This window comes from Homo sapiens, chromosome 12 (assembly GCF_000001405.40).
Source record: "Homo sapiens chromosome 12, GRCh38.p14 Primary Assembly".
NCBI classification, from domain to species: domain Eukaryota; kingdom Metazoa; phylum Chordata; class Mammalia; order Primates; family Hominidae; genus Homo; species Homo sapiens.
In genome coordinates this window covers 120,289,003-120,314,025 of record NC_000012.12, presented here as the reverse complement: position 1 = coordinate 120,314,025, position 25,023 = coordinate 120,289,003, and the positions used below count along the sequence as shown (strand labels likewise).

Sequence of the window (25,023 nt, the reverse complement as noted above, 5' to 3'; positions counted from 1 at the left end):
AGCCAAGATCATGCCACTGCACTCTAGCCTGGGCTACAGAGCGAGACTCCATCTCAAAGACAAAACAAAACAAAACAAAACACCCGGGCACGGTGGTTCACGCCTGTAATCCCAGCACTTTGGGAGGCCAAGGCAGGCAGATCACTTGAGGTCAGGAGTTTGAGACCAGCTTGGCCAATATGGTGAAACCTCGTCTCTACCAAAACTATAAAAAATTAGCCAGGTGTAGTGGTACGTGCCTGTAATCTCAGCTACTTGGGAGGCTGAGGCAGGAGAATCACTTGAATCCAGGAGGCAGAGGATGCAGTGAGCCAAGATCACACCACTGCACTCCAGCCTGGGCAACAGAGCGAGACTGTCTCAAAAAAAAAAGTTTTGGCCGGGTGTGGTAGCTCGTGCCTATAAAGTCAGCACTTTGGGAGGCTGAGGCGGGTGGAGAGCTTGAGCTCAGGACTTCGAGACCAGCCTGGGTGACAAAGTGAGACCCTGTCTCTACAAAAAATAAAAACAATTAGTTGGGTATGGTGGTGCACGCCTGTAGTCCTAGCTACTTGGGAGGCAGAGGTGGGAGGATGGCTTGAACCTGGCAGGCAGAAGTTGCAGTGAGCTGAGGTCAGGCCATTGCACTTCGGCCTGGGTGACAGAGCCAGATCCTGTCTCAAAAAAAAAAAAAAATTAGTTTTAGTGCTCTCTTCAGCAGCACATATACTAAAATTGGAATGATACAGAGGTTAGTATGACCCCTGTGCAAGAATGACACACAAATTCATGAAGCATTTCATATAAAGCTGAACAATTTTTTATTTAAAAAAAATGAGTTTTAATTAAGAATATCCACACATTAAGATACCTAGAACCTTCTATACTTTGTCAGTGCACCCTACTCTGTTGAATGGGAACTGGAATCTGTCATTTGAGAAGGCATTTACATTTAGCAGCAAGATTCAAGTGAAAGTCCCTGTTCCAGGTTCTGGAATATCAGGCTGTGGTCAGCATGGGTCTATCAAAGGCAGCAACTCTCCACAACGAGAATTCAGTTTCAGACACGCCAAGTCATCCGACCGTGTGGGCCCAATGTTCAGTATTGCAATCGGGAGCTTCTTCTCCCAGGCAGTGAGGATAAACCTGTAACCAGAGTATACCTGCACGGAGAAAAGACACACATAAGAATGTCTAGGTTCTCTAGATCTAGAAAAAGTTAAACCAAACAGGGTGTCTCTCCAGGACTCCCAATCCCGCACAAGGGGTGGTTACCACTCTTGCCAAGTCAGATACCTGCAAGGATGATCCCACCACCAAGAGGGAGTCGGCTTCTTTTACACGCTTGTGCACAAAATCAACCTTGTCAGGGTTCACTGTGTCCCCGAAGAAAACGACATCTGGTTTCAGATGGCCTCCACATTGAACGCAGGTTGGGACCTGAAAGCTCCGGACTTGCTCCTCTGAGAGAAAGACGTCACCATCAGGAGCCAGGCCATGGGCCTCAGCACTCCAGGTGGGGTTCAGGACTTGGAAACGCTCTTGCAGCACCCCCCGGGGAGTCTGTTCCCCACAATCCAAGCACAGGACCCTGGAACCAAGGAAGACGCTGACTGAACAGTATGCCCTTGGGAGGCACAAAGCTGTCAGAGACGTTTCATCTCCAACCATTTTCAGCCCTTCCATCGCTGCTTTCTTTCCCTAACACACAATCCCCACCCCATTTTAGCCATACTTTCTATTTTATTTTTTTTATTTTTGGAGACAGGGTCTGGCTGTTGCCCAGGCTGGAATGCAGTGGCACGATCTCAGCTCACTGCAGCCTCAACCTCCTGGGCTCAGGTTATCCTCCCACCTCATCCTCCTGAGTGGCAGGGACTGCACTACAAACACGCGCCATCTCGCCCAGCTAATTTTTGTAGTTTTGGTAGAGACGGTGTTTCACTGTGTCGCCCAGGCTGGTCTCAAACTCCTGGCCTCAAGTGATCCTCCCTCCTTGGCCTCCCAAAGTGCTGGGATTACAGGTGTGAGCCACTGCGCCCAGCCCATCAATTTCCTTCCTATACACTCCTTCCTAACCTTCTGCTATAGCTCACTTTTATCCTTAACATGACTGCAAATGCCTTGCCTGCTGATTTCCTTAATGCCCAAACCTGCGTTTTTCCCTCTATACTTTCCCTTGCTCATCTGCTGAATTTGCCACTGTCTATTACCATTCCTTCTAAAATGCTTCTCCTTCTTGGTTTCCAGGACACAGTGTCTCCTGGTTCTCTTCTCACCTCTTTTTTTTTTTTTTTTTTTTTTTTTTTTTGAGAGCAAGTTTCACTCTCATTGCCCAGGTTGGAGTGCAATGGCATGATCTTGGCTCACCGCAACCTCCACCTCCTGGTCTCAAGCGATTCTCCTGCCTCAGCCTCCTGAGTAGCCGGGATTACAGGCAGGCTCTACCACACCCGACTAATTTTTTTTGTATTTTTAGTAGAGACGGGGTTTCTCCATGTTGGTAAGGCTGGTCTCAAACTCCCGACCTCAGGTGATCCGCCTGCCTTGGCCTCCCAAAGTGCTGGGATTACAGGTGTGAGCCACTGCACCTGGCCCCCCTTCTCACCTCTCCAATCACCAGAGCTTGAGCCAGTGAGGGAGAGCACTTTGTGTCTGTTTTTATTTTTTTATTTTATTTTTTATTTTTTTGAGACGGAGTTTCACTCTTGTTGCCCAGGCTGGAGTGCAATGGCGCGATCTTGGCTCACCGCAACCTCTGCCTCCCAGGTTCAAGCAATTCTCCTGCCTCAGCCTCCCGAGTAGCTGGGATTACAGGCATGCACCACCACGCCCGGCTAATTTTGTATTTTTAGTAGAGACGGGGTTTCTCCATGTTGAGGCTGGTCTCGAACTCTTGACCTCAGGTGGTCTGCCCGCCTTGGCCTCCCAAAATGCTGGGATTACAGGCATGAGCCACTGCGCCCGGCCTATTTTTTTTTTTTTTTTTTTTTTTTTTAAGAGACAGGGTCAGGCTGGGCGTGGTGGCTCACGCCTGTAATCCCAACACTTTGGGAGGCCGAGGCGGGCGGATCACGAGGTCAGGAGATCGAGACCATCCTGGCTAACACGGTGAAACCCCATCTCTACTAAAAATACAAAAAATTAGCCGGCCGTGGTGGCGGGCGCCTGTAGTCCCAGCTACTCGGGAGGCTGAGGCAGGAGAATGGCGTGAACCCGGGAGGCGGAGCTTGCAGTGAGCCGAGATAGCACCACTGCACTCCAGCCTGGGCAACGAGCGAGACTCCGTCTCAAAAAAAAAAAAGAGACAGGGTCTTGGCCAGGCGTGGTGGCTCTTACCTGGAGTGCAGTGGCATGATCATAGCTCACTGCAGCCTCGAACTCCTAGGCTCAAGCAATCCTCCTGCCTTAGTCTTCCAAAGTGCTGGGACTACAGGTGTGAGCCACCACAACCAGCCTCATTTTTCTCCTTTTAGTTCTAGTCAGCCATCAGATTATGTTGATTTTCTTCTCTTAAAAGAACCCCTGTGGCCAGGCATGGTGGCTCACACCTTGTAATCCCAGCACTTTGGGAGCGTAAAGCAAGAGAATCGCTTGAGCTCAGGAGTTCCAGACCAGTCTGGGTAGACAGCAAGACGCTCTCTCTACAAAAAAAATTTTTTTGGCTTGTCTTTGTTTTTTGAGACGGGGTCTTGCTCTGTCGCCCAGGCTGGAGTGCAATGGCGCGATCTCGGCTCACTGCAACCTCCGCCTCCTGGGCTTAAGCGATTCTCCTGCCTCAGCCTCCCGAGCAGCTGGGATTACAGGCGCCTGCCACCACGCCCAGCTAATTTTTGTGATCTGCCCACCTCGGCCTCCCAAAGTGCTGAGACTACAGACGTGAGCCACCACGCCTAGCCAAAAAAAATTTTTTAATTAGCTGGAGTTCTAATTACCCAGGAGTTCTAGGTTACAGGGAGTTATGATGGCACCATTGCACTCTAGCCTGGGTGTCAGAACCAGACCCTGTCTAAAAAAGAAAAAAAGGCCAGGCCGGGCACGGTGACTCACACCTGTAATCCCAGCAATTTGGGAGGCCAAGATGGGTGGATCAGTTGAGGTCAGGAGTTTGAGACCCGCCTGGCCAACATGGTGATACCCTGTCTCTACAAAAATACAAAAAAATTAGCCGGGTGTGGTGGTGCACACCTGTAATTCCAGCTACTCAGGAGGTTGAGACAGGAGAATTGCTTGAACCCAGGATGTAGAGGTTACAGTGAGCCAAGATCATGCCATTGTACTCCAGCCTAGGTGACAGAGCAAGACTTCATCTCAAAAAAAAAAAAAAAAAAAGAAAGCGGGCACAGTGGCTCATGCCTGTAATCCCAGCACTTTGGGAGGCCAAGGCAGGCAGATCACCTGAGGTCAGGAGTTTGAGACCAGCCTGGCCCAACACGGTGAAACCCAGTCTCTACCAAAAATACAAAAATTAGCCGGGCATGGTGGTGCATGCCTGTAATCCCAGCTACTCAGGAGGCTGAGGCAGGAGAATCGGTTGAACCCGGGAGGTGGAGGTTGCAGTGAGCCAAGATCTCACCACTGCTCTCCAGCCTAGGCGACAGAGTGAGACTCTGTCTCAAAAAAAAAAAAAAAAGAAAAGAAAAAAAGGCCCCTGTGAAATGTCAAGAAGTCCTGGATTGTTTTAAAATGCTTAAGAAGAGACAGAATGGATAAAGTAGACATGACAAAATCTTGATAAAACCTTGGAATCTGGGTGATGGTATATGAGAATTCATTATACAATTCTCTTTACTTTTGTGAAGTTTGAAATTTTCATTATTAAAAGAACAGATTTTCTTCATGAAAAAAATTGTGAGTTTTTTTTGAGACAGAGTTTCACTCTTGTCGCCCAGGCTGGAGGGCAATGGCACAACAGTCTTGGCTCACCGCAACCTCCGCCTCCCAGGTTCAAGCGATTCTCCTGCCTCAGCCTCCCGAGTAGCTGGGATTACAGGCATGTGCCACCATGCCCGGCTAATTTTTTGTTGTTCTTGTACTTTTAGTAGTGACAGGGTTTCTCCATGTTGGTCAGGCTGGTCTTGACTCCCGACCTCAGGTTATCCACCCGCTTCGGCATCCCAAAGTGCTGAGATGACAGGCATGAGCCACCACGCCCGGCGGAAAAAATTGTTTTAATGAATCCATAAGCATCATTAACTCAAATTCCCTGGATACCACCTTAGTCTAGGTCTTTCAGGCTGACCTCCCTGACCTGCTCTTTTTAATCCTGTTTAGCCTTCCTCAAATGCTATTTTTATCATGTTGCTTGCTTGCTCAGAAACCACTAATAAACCCCTTTGGTGTCTCACAGCAGACCCAACTGCACTGCCTGATTTTCAAATGTAACCATGATTTGGGCCTAACTTTCCCAGACAATCTGGTTTCTGCAAGTCCCAGGTCCAAACCTCTACAGAGGCCAGGCCAGACTCCTCTGGGATCTACAACTTCCCTTCATTTGGAAAGCCCTGTTTCCCGCTCTTGCCTAGACAAACCTGAGCCAATCTCAAGCCCCCTGTACCCATAAAAGCTTTCTTGGGGCAGGCGCTGTGGCTCACGCCTGTAATCCCAGCGCTTTGGGAGGCCGAGGCAGGCGGATCACGAGGTCAGGAGTGAGTTCGAGACCAGCCTGGCCAACATGATGAAACCCTACCTCTACTACAAATACAAAAAATTAGCTGGGGGTGGTGGCAGGCACCTGTAATCCCAACTACTTGGGAGGCTGAGGCAGGAGAATCACTTGAACCCAGGAGGCGGAGGTTGCAGTGAGCCGAGACCGTGCCACTGCACTCCAGCCTGGGCAACAAGAACAAGACTGTGTTTCAAAAAAAAAAAAAAAAAAAAAGCTTTCTTGGGCCAGGCATGGTGGCTCACACCTGTAATCCCAACACTTTGGAAGATCAAGGCAGGAGGAGGGCTTGAGCTTAGGAGTTCGAGACCAGACTAGGCAACACAGCAAGATCCTGTCTCTATTTAAAAAAAAAAATTTTTTTTTTAAAAAGCTTTCTCAACTGATTATTCCAATCTTTACTAAATCTGTTTATTTGAACATGCACAGCATATAAATCAAGAACCACACAATTTCACAATCATGCGTTGTCATTTATCATTAATTATGTGCTTTTCTTTGTTTGTTTGCTTGGTTGTTTTTTGAGAAGGAGTTTCGTTCTTGTTGCCCAGGCTGGAGTGCAATGGTGCGATTTCAGCTCATTACAACCTCTGCCTCCCGGGTTCAAATGATTCTCCTGTCTCAGCCTCCTGAGTAGCTGGGATTATAGGCATGCACCACCATGCCTGGCTAATTTTGTATTTTTAGTAGAGACAGGGTTTCACTGTGTTGGTCAGGCTGGTCTTGAACTCCTGACCTCAGGTGATCCCCTGCCTCGGCCTCCCAAAGTGCTCGGATTACAGGCGTGAGCCACCGTGCCCGGCCAATTATGTTATTTTTGTGTCTTCCCAAATATTACAAAGTTCTTGCATATAAAGTGGGCCATGTTTTATACTTTGGTTTTTGTTTGTTGTTTGAGACAATCTCCCTCTGTCGCCCAGGCTGGAGTGCAATGGCACGATCTTGGCTCACTGCAACCTCTGCCACCCATGTTCATGCAATTCTCCTGCCTCAGCCTCCCGAGTAGCTGGGACTATAGGCGCCCGCCACCACGCCTGGCCAATCTTTTATTTTTAGTAGAGACTGGGTTTCGACATATTGGCCAGGCTGGTCTCAAACTCCTGAGCTCAAGTGATCCGCCCCCTCAGCCTCTCAAAATGCTGGGATTATAGGTGTGAGCCACTGAGCCCAGCCTATACTTTGGTTCTGACCACTAAGAAGCACAGTAGTTAGTGTTATAATGTACTACATAGTGTAACGTATGTACACCATACATTCTAGGCACCCAGTAAATATTTCAGCATTGGCAGACTGACTTCAGCCCTCAGAGGAGCCTCTCTAGGGCTTAAAGAAATAAGTCTCCAATTAGCTACAATTATTGCCAGACCCATAAGCATGATACCCTCCCATGTATCTGTTCCCTCATTATTGATTGAGTTCTGACTACTGCCCGGCTACGTTATGGTCTATGTATCTAGCCATCCTAGGCATTGGAAACCCAGCAGTTTATAGCACATGCTATTGGTGTTCAGCTCATATTTTCCTCAGAACATGCTAAAGGCCACGTTCGAACAGTTTCCTTTCTTTTTGTTTTTTTATTGAGATAGAGTCTCACTCTGTTGTCCAGGCTGGAGTGCAGTGGCACAATCTTGGCTCACTGCAACCTCTGCCTCCCAGGTTCAGGCGACTCTCGTGCCTCAGCCTCCCAAATAGCTGAGACTACAGGCGTGCGCCACTATGCCCAGGTAATTTTTTGTATTTTTAGTAGAGATGGGGTTTCACCGTGTGGGCCAGGATGGTCTCGAACTCCTGACCTCAAGTGATCTGCCTGCCTCTGCCTCCCAAAGTGCTGGGATTACAAGCATGAGCCACCGCACCCGTCCCAGTTTCCTTTCTCTGTTTTTTTGTTTGTTTTTTTTTTTGACGGAGTTTTGTTCTTGTTGCCCAGGCTGCAGGCTGGAGTACAATGGCACAATCTCGGCTCACCGCAACCTCCGCCTCTTGGGTTCAAGCTATTCTCCTGTCTAAGCCTCCCGAGTCGCTAGGATTACAGGCATGCACCACCACGCCCAGCTAATTTTGTATTTTTAGTAGAGACAGGGTTTCTCCATGTTGGTCAGGCTGGTCTCGAACTCCTGACCTCAGGTGATCCGCCCAACTCAGCCTCCCAAAGTGCTGGGATTACAGGCGCGAGCCACCGTGCCCAGCCAATTTCCTTTCTTAAAAAAATTTTTTGTAGAGACGGAGTCTGGCTGTGTTACCCAGGCAGGTCTTGATCTCCTGGCCTCAAGTAATCCTCCTGCTTCAGCCTCCTGAGTTGCTGGGATGACAGATATGAACCACAGCACCCTGGTGGACACAATTTTCTTTCTTTCTTTTTTTTTTTTTTTTGAGACGGAGTCTCGCTCTGTCACCCAGGCTGGAGTGCAGTGGCGCGATCTCGGCTCACCACAAGCTCCACCTCCCAGGTTCACGCCATTCTCCTGCCTCAGCCTCCCGAGTAGCTGGGACTACAGGCGTCCGCCACCGCGCCCAGCTAATTTTTTGTATTTTTAGTAGAGACGGGGTTTCACCATGTTAGCCAGGATGGTCTCGATCAACTGACCTCGTGATCCGCCTGCCTCAGCCTCCCAAAGTGTTGGGATTACAGGCGTGAGCCGCCGCGCCCAGCCTACACAATTTTCTTACAAGCAGTTTCCTGTGTCTCTCTTGCCTCAGATGTTCTCTGCCCACGGAAGCCTCCTTGGGAGGAGCAGAGTCAAAATGTTAGGGAATTAATTCCCCTAGAGTGATCCTGGACCCATGAGGGATGAGAGATGGTGAATAAATACCCTAGCTTCAAGGCCAAGCACAGTGGCTCACACTAGTCATCCCAGCACTTTGAGATGCCAAGGCAGGAGGATCACATGAGCCCAGGAGTTCGAGACCAGCCTGGGCAACATAGTAAGACTTCGTCTCTACAAAAAATAAAAATTAAATTAAAAATTAGCTGGGCACGGTGGCGTTTGCCTGTAGTCCCAGCTACTTAGGAGGCTGGGGTGAAAGGATCACTTGAGCCCAAGAGATTGAGGCTGAAGTGAGCTATAATCACACCACCACATCCCAGTCTGTGTGACAGAGTGAAAGCCTGTCATACACACACACACACACACACACACACGTGCACACACAAACACAAAAGAAAATAAAAGAAAATCACCCTAGCTTGCTCAACTTTCTTTTTTTTTTTTCTTTTTGAGACGGAGTTTTGCTCTGTTGCCCAGGCTGGGGTGTGGTGGCATGATCTCAGCTCATGATCTCAGCTCACTGCAACCTCTACCTCCCAGGTTCAAGCGATTCTCCTGCCTCAGCCTCCTGAGTAGCTGGAATTACAGGTGCGTGCCACCACTTCCAACAGATTTTTGTATTTTTAGTAGAGACGGGGTTTCACCATGTTGACCAGATTGGTCTTGAACTCCTGACCTCAGGTAATCTGCCTGCCTTGGCCTCCCAAAGTGCTGGGATTACAGGCGTGAGCCACCACACCCGGCCTCAACTTTCTTTAAAAAAAAAAAAAAAAAAAAAAAATATATATATATATATATATATATATATATATAAAATTTACTTTACTTATATAGAGACAGAGTCTCACTGTGTTTGCCAGGTTGGTCCTGAACTGTTAGCCTCAAGCAATCTTCCTGCCTCAGCCTTCCAAAGTGCTAGGATTACAGGTATGAGCCACTGTGCACCATCCTCAACTTTTTTTTTTCTTTTTTTCTTTTTTTTTGCACTGTTGCCCAGGCTGGAGTGTAGTGGTGCAATCTCGGCTCACTGCAGCAACCTCTGCCTCCCAAGAGATTTTCCTGCCTCAGCCTCCCAAGCAGCTGGGATTACAGGCATGTGCCACCACGACTGGCTAATTTTTGTATTTTTAGTAGAAATGGGGTTTCACCATGTTGGCCAGGCTGGTCTCGAACTCCTGAGCTCATGTGATCTGCCCACCTCAGCCTCCCAAAATGCTGGGATTACAGGCGTGAGCCACTGCGCCCGGCCCCAGTCCTCAAGTTTCATTGAGACAATCCTCAGGCATGTCCTAGACAGTTGGAGGGTCCCTCACAGGACTGAACCCCAGTGCCCAAGGCAGTAACCCACTCATTAACACACACTTTCTTGGCTTTCCTCTCTTTCCTGTTTTACATCCTTGCTCCGTCAATGAATTTACTGGAATCAACTGCAAAATAAACAACTTGCTCTGAAATCCTTTTCTCAAGGTCTAAGACTGTGGTGATCAAGACAGCCAAGGTCCCTACTCTCCCAAAACAACACACGGGTTTGCGTTCAAACCGTGTACAGCTCCTGCACCTGTCCATGCATCCGTGGAGCTCTGTCAGGCGCCGACTCCCCGCCTTGGTGTGCAAAGCATCCACATTTTGGGTCACCAACCAGTACAGCTTTCCGAGTTTCTCCCAGGTGCTCAAAGCCCAGTGTGCAGGGTTAGGCTGGTGGGAGGAGAATTGAGGCCAGCCTACGAAGTTTCTCGCCCAGTACCGCTGGCGGATTGGGGCACTCCGGACAAAATCACCATGCTGGATGGGCCTGCGGTCAGTGCGGGCATAAAGCCCCACTTTTTCTGACCTGTAGTCTGGTATCCCCGATTCGGTGGAGATTCCTGCCCCAGTCATCACAAGGAGTCTCTTGGAAAGGGTGATGAAGCGCTGTAACTCTTTGACCTTCTCAGGGTCCAGAGGAGGACTTGCTGGCACAAATAACCCAATGGAGGCTTTCGAGCACGGCTGGCTGGGGTTTGCGATCCAACGGCCTTTTGCTGACCTGAAAGTCAACGCAAAGCTCATCTTCATTCTAGAGAAAAAGAAGCCTCATGTGAGAAACTGGGGTGGTTTTTTTTTTTTCTCATTTTTTGTTTGTTTGTTTTCGTTTTGTTTTTTGAGACAGAGTCTCCCTCTGTTGCCCAGGCTAGAGTACAGTGGCATGATCTTGGCTCACTGTAACCGCCGCCTCCCGGGTTCAAGTGATTCTCCTGCCTCAGCCTCCAGAATAGCTGGGACTACATGGCCACCATGCCCGGCTAATTATTGTATTTTTAGTAGAGGCAGGGTTTCACCATGTTGGCCAGGCTAGTCTCGAACTCCTGAGCTCTAGTGATCTGCCCGCCTCGGCCTCCCAACGTGCTGGAATTACAGGTGTGAGCCTCTGAGTCTGGCCCTAATGAGTCAGGTTTTGTTTGATTTTGTTCATGTAATTAAGCACACACACGCATTCCTTTTATTTTTTCATTTCCCCCTTATTTTAGTTTACCCTCCACTGCAAGCTCTGCTACTTGGACACATCAGAGAGACAAGACCCCTGCCCGTCAGCTTTTCTAGCTGTAACAATAGAGGGCCGGGTGCGGTGGCTCACGTCTGAAATCCCAGCACTTTGGGAGGCCGACGCAGGCAGATCACTTGAGATCAGGAGTTCGAGACATGCCTGGCCAACATGGTGAAACCCCGACTCTACTAAAAATACAAAAAAAATTAGCCGGGCATTGTGGCACGTGCCCGTAATCCCAGCTACTAGGGAGGCTGAGGCAGGAGAATTGCTTGAACCCGGGAGGCGGAGGTTGCAGTGAGCCGAGATCGCGCCGTTGCACTCCAGCCTGGGCGAAGAAGCAAGACTCCGTATCAAAAAAAAAAAAAAAAAGAAAAAGAAAAAACTTTGACATATTATTTGACACAATGCAATGCATAAATCCTCTAGTGACATGCACCCCGTATGTAAACATTATTTTATGTTTGGCTTTCCAGATCTGAGATCAGGACCCCGCTTTCTCCTTGACATTCCACAGCAAAACGTGAACAGCTGAACAAACACACAGTCCGGTTTCCCGAGACCAAAGGGTCAGGGGAAACCCCCGCTGAAAACGTGCATCAGTGGAACAACTACTCTCTTCCAGGTCCCACCGAGGGCAAAGAGGAGAAATAGAATCCCTCACAAGAAATCCACAACTTCTAGAAATCCGCAGCACACACAGAACACACTTACCTCTCACAGCTCTACGGACACTTCACACCCCACAGTGGGACCGTCTGATTGCATTTGCATTTTGGGACATGTAGTCCAGAAAGCTTAAATGATGCGAGAAAAACCACAAGTCCCACAATCCTCCGCGTCTCGCAATTGACAGCCCCAGATCATCCAGGAACGCCCCCTGTCGGCTCTTTCTGGTCAGAGGTTCCCCCGTTAATATAAAAGCTTTTAATCATGGATTTTTTTCTTTGTTTTCAATTTCTGTGGGCACTTAGTAGGTGTATATATTTATAGTGTACATAAGATTTTTTTTCTTTTTTCTTTTTTTTTTTTAAGACGGAGTTGTTGTTTTTTTTTTTTGAAAAAACTCCAGTCTGGAGTGCAGTGGCACGATCTCGGCTCACTGCAACCTCCCTCTCCCGGGTTCAACCGATTCTCCTGCCTCAGCCTCCCGAGTAGCTGGGATTATTTTTGTATTTTTAGTAGAGACGGGGGTTTCGCCATGTTGGCCAGGCTCGTCTTGAACTCCTAACCTCAGGTGATCCGCACGCCTTGACCTCCCAAAGTGCTGGGATTATAGGCGTGAGCCACTGCGCCCGGCCATCTTTTCTCTTATTTTTTGTCTTTTTTTCTTTTCTCTGTGCCTGTCTATGCTTTACCCACATGAGATGTTTTGATACAAACATGCAATGTGAAATGAGCACGTCATTAATCATGGATCTAGATTTGACTTTTTTTTAAAGTTTTTGTATTTTTAGTAGAGACAGAGTTTCACCATGTTGGCCAGGCTGGTCTCGAACTCCCGACCTCAGGTGATCCGCCAACCTCGGCCCCCCAAAATGCTGGGATTACAGGCCTGAGCCACTGTTCCCGGCCTAGATTTGACTCATTCTAAACATCAGAGTTTGTGATCCTTTTCATTCACAACGACAGTATCAAGTTATTTGCTATTGGTAAAATACCTTGAACTTGTGAAGAAATGTGTTTATACATATCTGAAAAAGTGATAGTTTGTTGTTGTTGTTGTTGTTGTTTGTTTGTTTGTTTTTGAGACGGAGTCTCGCTCTGTTGCCCAGGCTGGAGTGCAATGGTGCCATTTCGGCTCACTGCAACCTCCGCCTCCCGGGTTCAAGCAATTCTCCTGCCTCAGCCTCCTGAGTAGCAGGGATTATGGGCGCATGCCACTACGCCCGGTTAATTTTTTTATTTTTAGTAGAGACAAGGTTTCACCATGTTAGCCAGGATGGTCTTGATCTCCTGACCTCGTGATCTGCCCACCCTAGCCTCCCAAAGTACTGGGATTACAGGCGTAAGCCACTGTGCCCAGCCAAAAGTGATGTTTTTACAGTTAATATGAAGCCAAATATATTATACCTGGACTAATGTACTTAACCTGCTTGGCTTCTCCAATTTTATTTATCATATTTTTTTTATTAAGTTAATCAAACAAGGCCTGCGTCTCACTCCCAGGGATTCTGATCTACAAATTTCCTAATTGTTCCTAATGTGTAGACAACCAGAACTGCCGCTCTGCAGCATCACCTAAATCAATAAATGTATAAGTGTCTTTGGACATAAAGGTGGGCGGCCAGCAGGGACCTTGAAGACCACCTAAGGACTCCCTTCCCCCATTTTAAGATGAATTGGGCTGAGTGCAGTGGTTCCCACCTGTAATACCAACACTTTGGGAGGCCAAGGCAGGAGGATCACTTGAGCCCAAAAGTTCAAGACCAGCTTGGGCAACATAGTGAGACCCACTCACTACAAAAAATAAACAAAATTAGCGGGGTGTGGTGGTGTGTGCCTGTAGTCCCAGCTACTCAAGAGGCTCAGGTGGGAGGATCACTTTGAGCCCAGGAGATCGAGGCTGCAGTGAGCCATAATTGTGCGACTGCACTTCAGCCTGGGTGACAAAGTGAGATCCCATCTCTTCAAAAAATAATAATAATAAATAAAGATGAACTGAAGTGCAGAGAAGTAATGTGGAAGCTTGAGAAAGAGTTTTTAGGTTTTTGGTTCTATCATTGTATCTTTGGAGGTAATATTGGCAAAATGACCATTTAGTAGTTTGCCCATTTCTGCTTTTTTTTTTTCTTTTTTTTGAGACAGGGTCTCGTTCTGTCACCCAGGCTGGAGTGCAGTTGTGACATCACAGCTCACTGCAGTTTCTACTTCCCAGGCCCAAGGGATCCTCCAACCTCATCCTCTCGAGTAGCTGAGATCACAGGCATCCACCACCACGCCCAGCTAAATTTTGTTATTTTTTATTTTTGTCGAGACACGGTCTCACTATGTTGCTCAGGCTGGTCTCAAACTCCTGAACTCAAGGAAAGCTCTTGCTTTGGCCTCCCAAAGTGCTGGGATTACAGGTGTGAGCCACCATGCCGGGCCTGCTTATTTCGACTTGGCAGCATCGTTTCATGAAGCCCCTGACTCTGTGACAACATACAGCTCTCCAGAAAGATGCTTTGAAGACAAAACAGAATAGAGCACACAGCCCTCCATGTCTCTTCCAAGTCACTATATTCATTAAAAGATAAATGACTCTGGTCATTGCCTTTTCCTGCACAAGATAATGTCTGATGGGGTTAGTGATGATACCTCTGTAATCCATAACCAGATATACTCTTGCACCCAAACTTTGATATGATTGTGCTTTAATGTAACTTTGAAGCAAGTTTAATGTGATTTTGCAGGCGCCGTACACTCACCACTTGTATATGAGTGGCTGAAATTCTGTGTTGGACCAGTCTGATGGAACTGCTCCCACACTATAGCCCTCGGTCTGTAATCCTCAGTAAGACTTGTAAGTAAAACTAACTTTAATTTTTTTTTTTTTTTTTTGAGAGAGTCTAGCTCTGTTGCCCAGGCTGGAGTGCAGTGGCGCGATCTTCACTCACTGAAGCCTCTGCCTTCCCGGCTGAAGTGATTCTGCTGCCTCGGCCTCCGGAGTAGCTAGGATTACAGGCGCTCGCCACTGCGCCCGGCTAATTTTTGTATTTTTAGTAGAGATGGGGTTTCGTCATGTTGGCCAGGCTGGTTTTGAACTCGTGACCTCAGGTGACCCACCTGCCTCAGTCTCCTAAAATGCTAGGATTACAGGAGTGAGCCACTGCACCCCGCCACTTTTATTATTATTATTATTGTATTTATTTATTTATTTATTTATTTTTGAGACGGAGTCTCGCTCTGTCGCCCAGGCTGGAGTGTAGTGGAGAGATCTCGGCCCACTACAAGCTCCGCCTCCCGGGTTCACGCGATTCTCCTGCCTCAGCCTCCGGACTACAGGCGCCCGCCACCACACCCGGCTAATTTTTTGTATTTTTTTTTTAGTAGAGACGGGGTTTCACCGTGTTAGCCAGGATGGTCTCTATCTCTTGACCTCGTGATCCGCCCGCCTCAGCCTCCCAAAGTACTGGGATTACAGGCGTGAGCCACCGCGCCCGGCTATTTATTTATTTATTTATTTATTTATTTATTTATTTTTTGAGACGGAATATTGCTCTGTGCCCAGGCTGGAGTGCAGTGGCACGATCTCAGATCACTGCAACCTCCGCCTCCCGGGTTCAAGTGATTCTCCTGCCTCAGCCTCCCGAGTAGCTGGGATTACGGGTGCCCGCCACCATGCCCGGCTAATTTTTGTATTTTTAGTAGAGACGGGGTTTCACCATGCTTGTCAGCATGGTCTCGAACTCCTGACCTCGCGATCCGCCCGCCTCAGCCTCCCAAAGTGCTGGAATTACAGGCATGAGCCACTGCGCCCTGCCACTTTAATTATTTAAAAGCTTATTTTTTTATTTTGGGGACATGGTCTCACTCTTTCACCCAGGCGGGAGTTCAGAGGCACGATCACTGCGCACTACAGCCTCAACCTCTTGGACTCAAACCATCCTCCCACCTCAGCCTCCTGAGTAGCTGGGACTACAGGTGGGCCACCAAGCCCAGCTAATTTTTGTATTTTTTTGTAGAGACGGGGTTTCACCATGTTGCCCAGGCTGGTCTCGAACTCCTGGGCTCTAGGCTTTCCAAAGTGTTGTGATTACGGGCGTGAGCTACTGCGCCTGGCCGATTCTTTTTAACTTAGTACACAGGGAGTAGTAGCTCCAGCAACAGCGAAAGTCAGTAGCTGTAGGATCTACTAGGCGGGGAAACTCATATGACAGCCCCCTCCTTTTTTTTTTTTTTTTTTTTTTTTTTGAGATGGAGTTTCACTCTTGTTGACCAGGCTGGAGTGCAATGGCGCCATCTTGGCTCACCGCAACCTCCGCCTCCCGGGTTCAAGTGATTCTCCTGCCTCAGCCTCCCCAGTATCTGGGATTACAGGTGTGAGCCACTGCGCCCGGCCACCCCCTTTTTTTTTCAAGGCTGCAGTGAGCCATGATCCTGTGACTGCACTCCAGCCACTGACAGCCCTTTCTGCATTAGTTAACCTGACCACATCTGCTGAAAGAAAGCACCAGAAGCTAGACTGAAATTTTCGTTGTCAAAAAAATTATAATCCCCCCCAAAATTTAAAAATTATAATCCAGCACATTTTCTGCACACATTTTCTGGGTATTTGATCATAACTTTTAAAAATGTGAGAACAGTGACATTCTCCTTCCCCATTCACCAATTTTACTATGAAAAAGTTCAAACCTAGGTTATTTTTTCAGTTCTCCAAGTGGAATGATCATCACTAATAGAGATTGGTTGGGAATTCTATTGTGCTTCTAGGCCCCCAAAAATCTCATGCTCTGAGGAAAAGTTAGCTGAGTTTTCAATTTTTCTCATAGTGCTGGAAAATCATCCCTGGACGGTGAAGTCATCCAAGTCTTTTTTGTTTTGTTTTGTTTTTTCTTTCTTTCTTTCTTTCTTTTTTAATTTTTGTATGCTTTGTTTCTATTTCTTTTTTTTTTTGTCATCCAAGTCAGCTGGTGAAACACACAATTTCACTTGATAGCTACTGAGAGAGTGTAATGGGCCACCCATTCTAGAATTCTCAAGGGCTAGGAAGTTCCTTTGATACCCTCATGGGATTAGGATTAGGGCTTTAGTCTTTTTCTCTCTCTCTTTTTTTTTTTTTTTTTTTTTTTTTGATTACAGGCGTGAGCCACCACACCAAGCCCCATTATTTATTTATTTTATTTTATGTATGTATGTATGTATGTATGTATGTATTTATTTATTTTGAGACGGAGTCTCGCTCTATCGCCCAGGCTGGAGTGCAGTGGCGCAATCTAGGCTCACTGCAACCTCCGCCTACCGGGTTCAAGTGATTCTCCTATGTCAGCCTCCCAAGTAGCTGGGATTATAGGCGCCCGCCACCATGCCCAGCTAATTTTTGTATTTTTAGTAGAGACGAGGTTTCACCATCTTGGCCAGGCTGGTCTTGAACTCCTGACCTTGTGATCCACCCGCCTCGGCCTCCCAAAGTGCTGGGATTACAGGCGTGAGCCACCGTGCCTGGCCTAGTGTTTTTCTCACAACTCCACCCCATCCAGAATTAATGACTAAATCCTTGACTGGATGATCAAAGTAAAAGAATCTAAATTCACCACATTGCTAGTCTTTTCTTTTTATCCAGGCTGTGAATTAAATAAGAAATCTGCTGCAGTGGCTCATGCCTGTAATCCCTCCCCTTGGGGAGGCCGAGGCGGGCGGATCACTTGAGCCCAGGAGCTGGAGACCAGCATGGGCAACATGGTGAAACCCTGTATCTACAAAAAATACAGAAAAATTAGCTGGGCATGGTGGTGTGTGCCTGTAGTCCCAGCTACCTGGGAGGCTGAGGTGGGAAGATCGCTTGAGCCCAGGAGATTTAGGCTGCACTGAGCCGTGATTGCACCCCTGCGCTCCAACCTAAGCGACTGAGAACATGTCTCAAAAAAAAAAAAACAAAAAAAAAAACACAAAACAAGTTAGAAATAATCACATAACACATCAGCATCAAACAGGCCTTTTAAAATGTCGTTTTTGACCATCCTGGCTAACACGGTGAAACCCCATCTCTACTAAAAATAGAAAAAATTAGCCGGCCGTGGTGGCGGGCGCCTGTAGTCCCAGCTACTCGGGAGGCTGAGGCAGGAGAATGGCGTGAACCCGGAAGGCGGAGCTCGCAGTGAGCCGAGATTGCGCCACTGCACTCCAGCCTGGGCGACAGAGCGAGACTCCGTCTCAAAAAAAAAAAATGTCATTTTTGTATATGGATGATGAGTACATGAATGTTCACTGAGGAATTCTTTGAACTTTTCGTGTTTACAATTTTTTATGATAAAATGTTGGGGGAAATGTTACTTTCTTTTTTTTTTTTTTTTTTTTTTTTTTTGAGACGGAGTCTCGCTTTGTCACCCAGGCTGGATTACAGTGGCATGATCTCAGCTCATGGCAACCTCTACCTCCCAGGTTCAAGCGATCCTCCTGCCTCAGCCCCCCTAGTAGCTGGGATTACAGGCAAGCGCCACCACGCCCCGTTAATTTTTGTATTTTGTATTTTTGTAATTTTGTATTTTTGTATTTTGTATTTACAGGGATGTCGCCATGTTACCAGGCTGATCTTGAACTCCTGACCTCAGGTGATCCACCTGCCTTGGCCTCCCAAAGCGTTGGGATTACACGCTCGAGCCACCACACCTAGACCAGATGTAGGTTTCTAATAGCTTTCTACATCCTGAAGGAAAACAGGCAGTGAGGGTGAAAGTTGCTTCAAATTTTAGAAACTGTGAACATTCTGTGGAAATAAATCCTTATTATTTGAGCCTCTTTTTGAATTAAGGTGTCCAAACCCTTTTGAATTAACATATGATCCAGCAATTTTACTTCTAGGTATGTACACCAAAGAATAGAAAACAGGGGCCAGGCGCGGTGGCTCACACCTGTAATCCCAGCACTTTGGGAGGCCGAGGCAGGCAGATCACTTGAGGTCAGGAGTTCAAGACCAGCCTGACCAACATGGAGAAACCCCGTCTCTACTAAAAAAAAAAAAAAAAAAAAAATTATCTATATATATATTTATACATATATATATATAAAATTAGCCAGGCATGGTGGCGCATACCTGTCATCCCAGCTACTTGGGAGGCTGAGGCAGGAGAATCACCTGAACCCAGGAGGCAGAGGTTGTGGTGAGCTGAGATTGCGCCTTTGCAGTCCAGACTGCGCAACAAGAGCGAAACTCAGTCTCAAAAAAAAAAAAAAGGAAAACAGAAACTTAAGCTGATATTTGCACACCAATAGCAGCATTATTCCCATAGACAAAAGGTGGAAACCAGCAATGACCATCTAAAAATAAATGGATAGGCCGGGCGCCGTGGCTCAGCACTTTGGGAGGCTGAGGCAGGAGGATCACTTGAGGTCAGGAGCTTGAGACCAGCCTGGCCAACATGGTGAAACCCTGTCTCTACTAAAAATACAAAAATTAGCCAGGATTGGTGGCACGCACCTGTAATCCCAGTTAGTTACTCGGGAGGCTGAGACAGGAGAACTGCTTGAACCCCAGAGGCGGAGGTTGCATGGGCTGAGATTGAGTCTATGTACTCCAGCTTGGGCAACAGAGCGAGACTCCCCCTCAAAAAAAAAAAAAAAAAGGATAAACAGTTGGTCCGGGCGGCAGCTCATGCCTATAGTCCCAGCACTTTGGGAGGCCAAGATGGGAGGATCACTTGGGCCCAGGAGTTCGAGACCAGCCTGGGCAACATGGTGAGATCCTGTCTGTACGAAAAATACAGAAAGTATCCAGCTGAAGTGGGAGGAGGATCACTTGAGGCCTGGAAGCAGAGGTTGAAGTGAGCTGAGATCGCGCCACTGCATTCCAGCCTGGGCGACAGAGCCAAAAGCTGTCTCAAAAAAGAATGAATGGGACCGGGCGCGGTGGCTCACGGCTGTAATCCCAGCACTTTGGGAAACCAAGGCGGGTGGATCACCTGAGGCCAGGAGTTCAAGACCAGCCTGACCAACATGGTGAAACCCCGTGTCTACTAAAAATAATCCCAGCTCCTCGGGAGGCTGAGGCAGGAGAATCGCTTGAACCTGGGAGGCGGAGGTTGATCTCGCCATTGCGCTCCAGCCTGGGCAACAAAAGCAAAACTTCGTCTCAAAAAAAAAAATAGACAAGAATAAATGGGCTGGGTGAAGTGGCTCACACCTGTAATTCCAGCACTTTGGGAGGCCGAGGCAGGCAGATCACGTGAGGTCAGGAGTTTGAGACCAGCCTGGCCAACATGGTGAAATCCTGTCTCTACTAAAAATACAAAGAGTGGTGGCATGCATCTGTAATCCCAGCTACTTGAGAGATGGAGGCAGGAGAATCGCTTGAATCCGGGAGGCAGTGGTTGCAATGAGCCGAGATCATGCCACTGCACTCCAGCCTGGGCAACAAGAGCAAAAACTCCATCTCAAAAAAAAAAAAAGATAACATCTCATACAGTGAAATATTATTCAGCCATAAAATTAATGAATTCCTGATATATACTACAACATGGATGAACCTTAAAAACATTATTCTGAATGAAATAAGACTGACCTCAAGGACAAATATTGTATGATTCCATTTATATATATATAAAGTACTCACAAAGTCATAGAGATAGAAAGTAGAAAAGAGGTTGCCACGGGGGCTGGAGGAGAAGGGAACAGGGAGTAAGGGTTTAATGGGTACAGAGTCTCAGTTTCCACCCTTGGGCATGAAAGATAAAGTTCTGGAGGTAAGTAGTGATGATGGTTACACAACAATGTGAACATATTCTATGCCAGTGAATTTACACTTAAGGTTAAAATGGTAAATTTTATGTATACTTTGGCATAATTTAAAAAAAAGTTTGAAAAAGAAAAAAGACAAAACAATAATCGTCTTTGGAGAAGTCTGTTACACTGAATCTGGAGCCAAGTGAACAGAACCCTGATTTTGATCCCTTTTCTCTCAAAAGCCCTTCGCAGTCTCTGAATTAAGTCTATTAGCATGTTCCTCCCATAGTGCTTTGCTTCATATCAACAAAAACCTAGCTAAGTGAAATCAGCAACGATATGCAGAAACCACCTACGCAGGTCACAAACATCTTTCTATGATTGTATAATTTTCAAGCAAGCAATAAGTGAAGATTTTTCCATAGGCCCTAAACTCACCTTTGCGAAATAGGAAGCTGGTTTATTGGGAGTGATGAGCAGGGGGCGTAACAAATTAGCTTTGCGCAGTGGCAGTATCGTAGCCAATGAGGTCTATCCGAGGCGCGATTATTGCTAATTGAAAACTTTTCCCAATACCCCGCCGTGACGACTTGCAATATAGTCGGCACTGGCAATTTTTGACAGTCTCTACGGAGACTGAATTTTCTTGCAGTTGAACAACAGAGGCTTTTTTTGTGTGTGTGGGGGTGCTTGGTTTTGGGAGGTTGAAGAGTACTTGTTCGCAAACTCTCTAAATGAGAGATGGGGAAGTGTCTTACCAGCTGATTCGCGAGAGCACCTGCAAGTTTACCTGTTTTAGTGATTTGCGTTTATGAAAGTTGGAGTTGCTGATTTTGTGATCTCTACTTTTAAGGTAAAAGCAGGGCGGTGTTGACTTTTCTTGCCAGTTGGCTGTCCTGTTTTCTTTCTCGCACTGTTTTCTTTTTGAGACGAAGTCTGTCGCTCAGGCTGGAGTGCACTGGCGTGATCTCGGCTCGCTGCAAACTTTGCCGAACCCCTGTTTAGCGATTTCCGTTTGTGAAAGTTGGAGTTGCTGATTTTGTGATCTCTACTTTTAAGGTAAATGCAGGGCGGTGTTGACTTTTCTTGCCAGCTGGCTGTCCTGTTTTCTTTCTCTCGCACTGTTGTTTTCTTTTTGAGACGAAGTCTGTCGCTCAGGCTGGAGTGCACTGGCGCGATCTCGGCTCGCTGCAAACTGCCGCCCGGGTTCAAGCGATTCTCGTGCCTCAGCCTCCCGACTAGCTGGGATTACAGGCGCCTGCCCACCGCACCCCGCTGATTTTTTTGTATTTTTAGTAGCGACCCCGTTTCACCATCTTGTCCAGGCTGGTCTTGAACTCCTGACCTCGTGATCCACCCGCCTCGGCCTCCCAGAGTGCTGGGATTACAGGCGTGAGCCACCGCGCCCAGCCGTGTTCTCCATTCAGATTTTGTCACAGTGACGTCCTAAAATTATTCCCAACTCCCCCCACCCTGCTGTTTCCGCACCCTCGAGCACAGCTAGTCGTCCGTCTGCGCCCTCCAGGCTCGCTTTCCCACTGCTCACTCTCCTCGCTCAAAATTCAAGTCTCAACCGAGTCATCTCTGTGACGTCACGTTGATTTGCATAAGATTCCCCAGCGTCCCAAGCGAATATTCTTATGGTTTTCAAAACCTGAATGTTTGACACGGGATGTTCCAACAACAAGAAACCTCCTATGCAGATGGGCCTTAAATACGGCTGGTGGAGTGGGAACACGTCGTATACACGGACACACGGGCAGGCACTCACCCTCAATGTAATGGTAGTCATCATCCGTGGGGGAGCGGGGCGCGAACAGAACCTTTCCAGCTTTGCGCAGTGGCAGTATCGTAGCCAATGAGGTTTATCCGAGGCGCGATTATTGCTAATTGAAAACTTTTCCCAATACCCCGCCATGACGACTTGAAATATAGTCGGCATTGGCAATTTTTGACAGTCTCTACGGAGACTGAATTTTTAAAAGTCTAAAGAAAAGGGTTTTAGGAAGTTGTATTATAGCAGGTTGTGTCTTATGTTTGGTTTGATAAGTTATGAGCTGTTCCTATGATAGTTTTTTGGTTGTTGTTCAGGAGTATTCCGTGATTGAATGTCCGGGGTTCTGTGCGGGTACTGTGAGTTGTTTTCCAAAATGTATGACACTATGTTGGGAACTGGGTTCTAACTAAGACAGTTATCGTTAATCTTTTTTATCCAAATGCAGCCAGCGAGTGAGCTACTCCACTTCCTTTGTCACTGAAGGTCACAGATTCCCTTAAAGGGAAGGGGAACTCTAAAACTAACACATTAATACATCCAAAGTCTTCCTTTTTTTTTTTTTTTTTTTTTTTGAGACGGAGTTTTCGCTGTTTCCCAGGCTGGGGTACAGTGGCGCGATCTCGGCTGACTGCAACCTCCACATTCCGGGTTCAAGCGATTCTCTGTCTCAGCCTCCGGAGTAGCTGGGATTACGGGAGCCCAACATCACGCCCGGCTCATTTTTGTATTTTTAGTGGAGACGGGGTTTCGCCTTCTTGGCCAGGCTGGTTTCAAACTCCTGACCTCAGGTGATCCGCCTACCTCGGCCTTCCGAAGTGCTGGGATTACAGGTGTGAACCACCGCGTTTTCTTCCTTTTAAAGCGACCAAGAGGGAAAAAGGCACAGAAGATTGCTCAGGTCCTACTGTGGAGTCCTCGGCAGAGCTGGGGCTTATCAGGTTCTCTTGCCCCTAGTGTGGTACTTGTTCCCACTACACCAGCCTCTTCCAGTCTTACCTTTTTACGAAGACCTGGGCTGTCCATGGACAGAGGTCCTCAGGAGTCACAACTCTGGGCATGGCGGATCCAGCTGGACCTGCTTAGGACACCGCCCATAAAAGACTCCTCCAGCCTGTAGCAAAAAGAGGTGGCAAAAAGGGTGGCAACAGTACCTACAAGGTCAAAGACGGTGCTGGGAAAAACAGCTCCAGTGGCAAATTAAACTCAGTCCCCAGTTCAAGGACCTCACAGACTGGAGACGTGGAGGCGAAGGTAGCAGTGAGCTGAAATTGCGCCACTGCACTCCAGCCTGGGTGACAGTGAGACTCTGTCTCAAAAAAAAAGAAAAAAGAAAGAAGAAGAAGCCGGGAGCGGTGGCCCACGCCTGTCATCCCAGCACTTTGGGAGGCCAGGGCGGGCAGATCACGAGGTCAGGAGTTCAAGACCAGCCTGGCCAACATGGTGAAACCCTATCTCTACTAAAAATACAAAAAAAAAAAAAAAAAAAAAAAATTAGCCAGCCATGGTCGTGGGCGCCTGTAATCCCAGCTACTCGGGAGGCTGAGGCAGGGGAGTCGCTTGAACCCGGGAGGCGGAGATTGCAGTGAGCCAAGACCGCGCCATTGCCCTCCAGCCTGGGCGACAGAGTGAGACTCCGTCTCAAAAAGAAAAAAAAAAAAGTTATCCAAAACTTAGAAATAACGTGAAAAGAAGAGTGCATGTCCTTTCAAAATCAAACTACAACAATTTCTTAAATTTTGGCGTGCATAAAAATAACCTTGAGAATTTGTTAAGACACAGATCGAATCCCCATTCCTAGAGATTCCAATTCAGGAGGCCTGGGATGGAGACTAAGATTCTGCATTTCTAAAAGTTCGCAGGTGCTGGTCCAGGGTCCACAGCTTGAACAGCAGGGGAAGAAATGTAGCATTGTATAATTAGCATCATCACACGCTAGAAGAAAACTCGACTTACTGTTTATTGCAGATTTTTTATTAGAGATGGGTTCTTGGCCGGACCTGGTGGCTCACGCCTGTAATCCCAGCACTTTGGGAGGCCAAGGCAGGAGGATCTCTTGAGTCCAAGAGTTCAAGACCAGCTTGGGCAACATCATGAGACACTTGTCTCTACCAAAAAATATGAGAATGTTTTTGTTGTTGTTCTTTTTGTTTTTGTTTTTTGGAGAGAGCAGGGTCTCACCCCGTCACCCCAGCTGGAGTGCAGTCATGCAATATCAGCTCACTGCAATCTCCACTTCCCAGGCTCAAGTGATCCTCTCACCTCAGCCTCCTGAGTAGATGGAACTATAGGCACGTGCCACCACACTCAGCTAATTTTATTTTATTTTTTGTAGGGGTGGAGGTTTTGCATATTGCTCAAGCTAGTCTCAAACTCCTGGGCTCAAGCCACCCACCTGCCTTGGCCTCCCAATGTGCTGAGATTACAGGCATGAGCCATCGTGCCTGGAAAAATTAAAAAATTAGTGTTTGCCTGTAATCCTAGCTACTCAGGAGGCTGAGGCAGGAGGGTTGCTTGAGCCTAGGAGGTCGAGGCTGCAGTGAACCGTGATATCGCCACCGCACTCCAGCCCAGGTGACAGAGTGAGACCCTATCTCAAAATCCCCCACAAGGAAAATCCAAACAAAAAAATTGAGGTAAAATTTACATAACATAAAATTAACCATATTAAAGTGGATCCATTTTTTTGTTATTATTCTGCAAGCAAGGAGGGGAGAGAGGGCTTCATGTGATTTTTACGTATCATTGTTTTCTGTTTCAAATCTAAATTCTTTTTTCTGAATACAAAAATTACTGCATGTTTGTATATAAAATTCAAATATACACATGAAACAGTGACAAAGGCTCTCACAATAATCTCACCTTGACTCCAAGGAGATAGTCACAGGTACGTGAGATTATTCCTCCAAAATGTTCTACTTATAGGTCAACATAATTATTAACAAAAATTGGATTA

The 25,023-nt window shown here is 47.2% G+C and overlaps 1 protein-coding gene, 2 non-coding genes and 1 pseudogene across 7 annotated transcripts, besides 7 other annotated features; 3 read left to right on the top strand and 1 right to left on the bottom strand.

The window, feature by feature from the left end:
• On the top strand, positions 685 to 788 carry RNU6-1088P (RNA, U6 small nuclear 1088, pseudogene; annotated as a pseudogene).
• On the bottom strand, positions 777 to 22,246 carry SIRT4 (sirtuin 4). 5 transcript variants are annotated; one of them, XM_006719309.5, is made up of 4 exons: positions 20,732 to 22,246; positions 9,968 to 10,465; positions 1,276 to 1,570; positions 777 to 1,142 (listed from the first exon to the last, which is right to left on the bottom strand). In XM_006719309.5, exons 2-4 carry the CDS (start codon positions 10,462 to 10,464, stop codon positions 990 to 992), a joined length of 945 nt encoding a protein of 314 aa, XP_006719372.1. In that variant the 5' UTR covers position 10,465; positions 20,732 to 22,246; the 3' UTR covers positions 777 to 989. The 5 variants fall into 5 exon arrangements, with proteins under 5 accessions (XP_006719372.1, NP_001372662.1, NP_001372664.1 ...); NM_001385733.2 differs by having other exon boundaries at positions 21,084 to 21,837; NM_001385735.2 differs by having other exon boundaries at positions 10,241 to 10,465; positions 21,084 to 21,837.
• Positions 20,145 to 21,136: an enhancer, noted in NCBI's record as "OCT4-NANOG-H3K27ac-H3K4me1 hESC enhancer chr12:120730693-120731684 (GRCh37/hg19 assembly coordinates)". NCBI's record gives its function as "activates a minimal SCP1, AML or CMV promoter by ChIP-STARR-seq in naive H9 embryonic stem cells {active_cell/tissue: H9 hESC(naive)}" and the evidence as "EXISTENCE:reporter gene assay evidence [ECO:0000049][PMID:30033119]".
• Positions 20,789 to 20,933, top strand: RNU4-1 (RNA, U4 small nuclear 1). Its single transcript, NR_003925.2, has one exon. It is a non-coding gene; the product is annotated as an RNA, U4 small nuclear 1 (small nuclear RNA).
• Positions 20,799 to 20,908: a silencer, noted in NCBI's record as "silent region_4948". NCBI's record gives its function as "represses an Ori minimal core promoter by ATAC-STARR-seq in GM12878 lymphoblastoid cells {active_cell/tissue: GM12878}" and the evidence as "EXISTENCE:reporter gene assay evidence [ECO:0000049][PMID:35858748]".
• Positions 22,089 to 22,288: a silencer, noted in NCBI's record as "silent region_4947". NCBI's record gives its function as "represses an Ori minimal core promoter by ATAC-STARR-seq in GM12878 lymphoblastoid cells {active_cell/tissue: GM12878}" and the evidence as "EXISTENCE:reporter gene assay evidence [ECO:0000049][PMID:35858748]".
• Positions 22,089 to 24,113: a biological region, named in NCBI's record as "hESC enhancers GRCh37_chr12:120727716-120728708 and GRCh37_chr12:120728709-120729700".
• Positions 22,123 to 22,267, top strand: RNU4-2 (RNA, U4 small nuclear 2). Its single transcript, NR_003137.3, has one exon. It is a non-coding gene; the product is annotated as an RNA, U4 small nuclear 2 (small nuclear RNA).
• Positions 22,129 to 23,120: an enhancer, noted in NCBI's record as "NANOG-H3K27ac-H3K4me1 hESC enhancer chr12:120728709-120729700 (GRCh37/hg19 assembly coordinates)". NCBI's record gives its function as "activates a minimal SCP1, AML or CMV promoter by ChIP-STARR-seq in primed H9 embryonic stem cells {active_cell/tissue: H9 hESC(primed)}" and the evidence as "EXISTENCE:reporter gene assay evidence [ECO:0000049][PMID:30033119]".
• Positions 23,026 to 23,320: a silencer, noted in NCBI's record as "tiled region #8153; K562 Repressive non-DNase unmatched - State 2:TssF". NCBI's record gives its function as "represses a minimal TATA promoter and a strong SV40 promoter by Sharpr-MPRA in K562 cells {active_cell/tissue: K562}" and the evidence as "EXISTENCE:reporter gene assay evidence [ECO:0000049][PMID:27701403]".
• Positions 23,121 to 24,113: an enhancer, noted in NCBI's record as "H3K27ac-H3K4me1 hESC enhancer chr12:120727716-120728708 (GRCh37/hg19 assembly coordinates)". NCBI's record gives its function as "activates a minimal SCP1, AML or CMV promoter by ChIP-STARR-seq in naive H9 embryonic stem cells {active_cell/tissue: H9 hESC(naive)}" and the evidence as "EXISTENCE:reporter gene assay evidence [ECO:0000049][PMID:30033119]".

Bases quoted from the DNA above. Each gene is read 5' to 3' on its own strand.
- SIRT4 (XM_006719309.5), bottom strand. From the start codon at position 10,464: ATGAAGATGAGCTTTGCGTTGACTTTCAGGTCAGCAAAAGGCCGTTGG. The intron at 1,571-9,967 runs GTGCAGGAGCTG...CCTTGGTTCCAG, and splicing joins CTCCACGGATGCATGGACAG to GGTCCTGTGCTTGGATTGTG. The intron at 1,143-1,275 runs GTATCTGACTTG...TTCTCCGTGCAG, and splicing joins TGGTGGGATCATCCTTGCAG to GTATACTCTGGTTACAGGTT.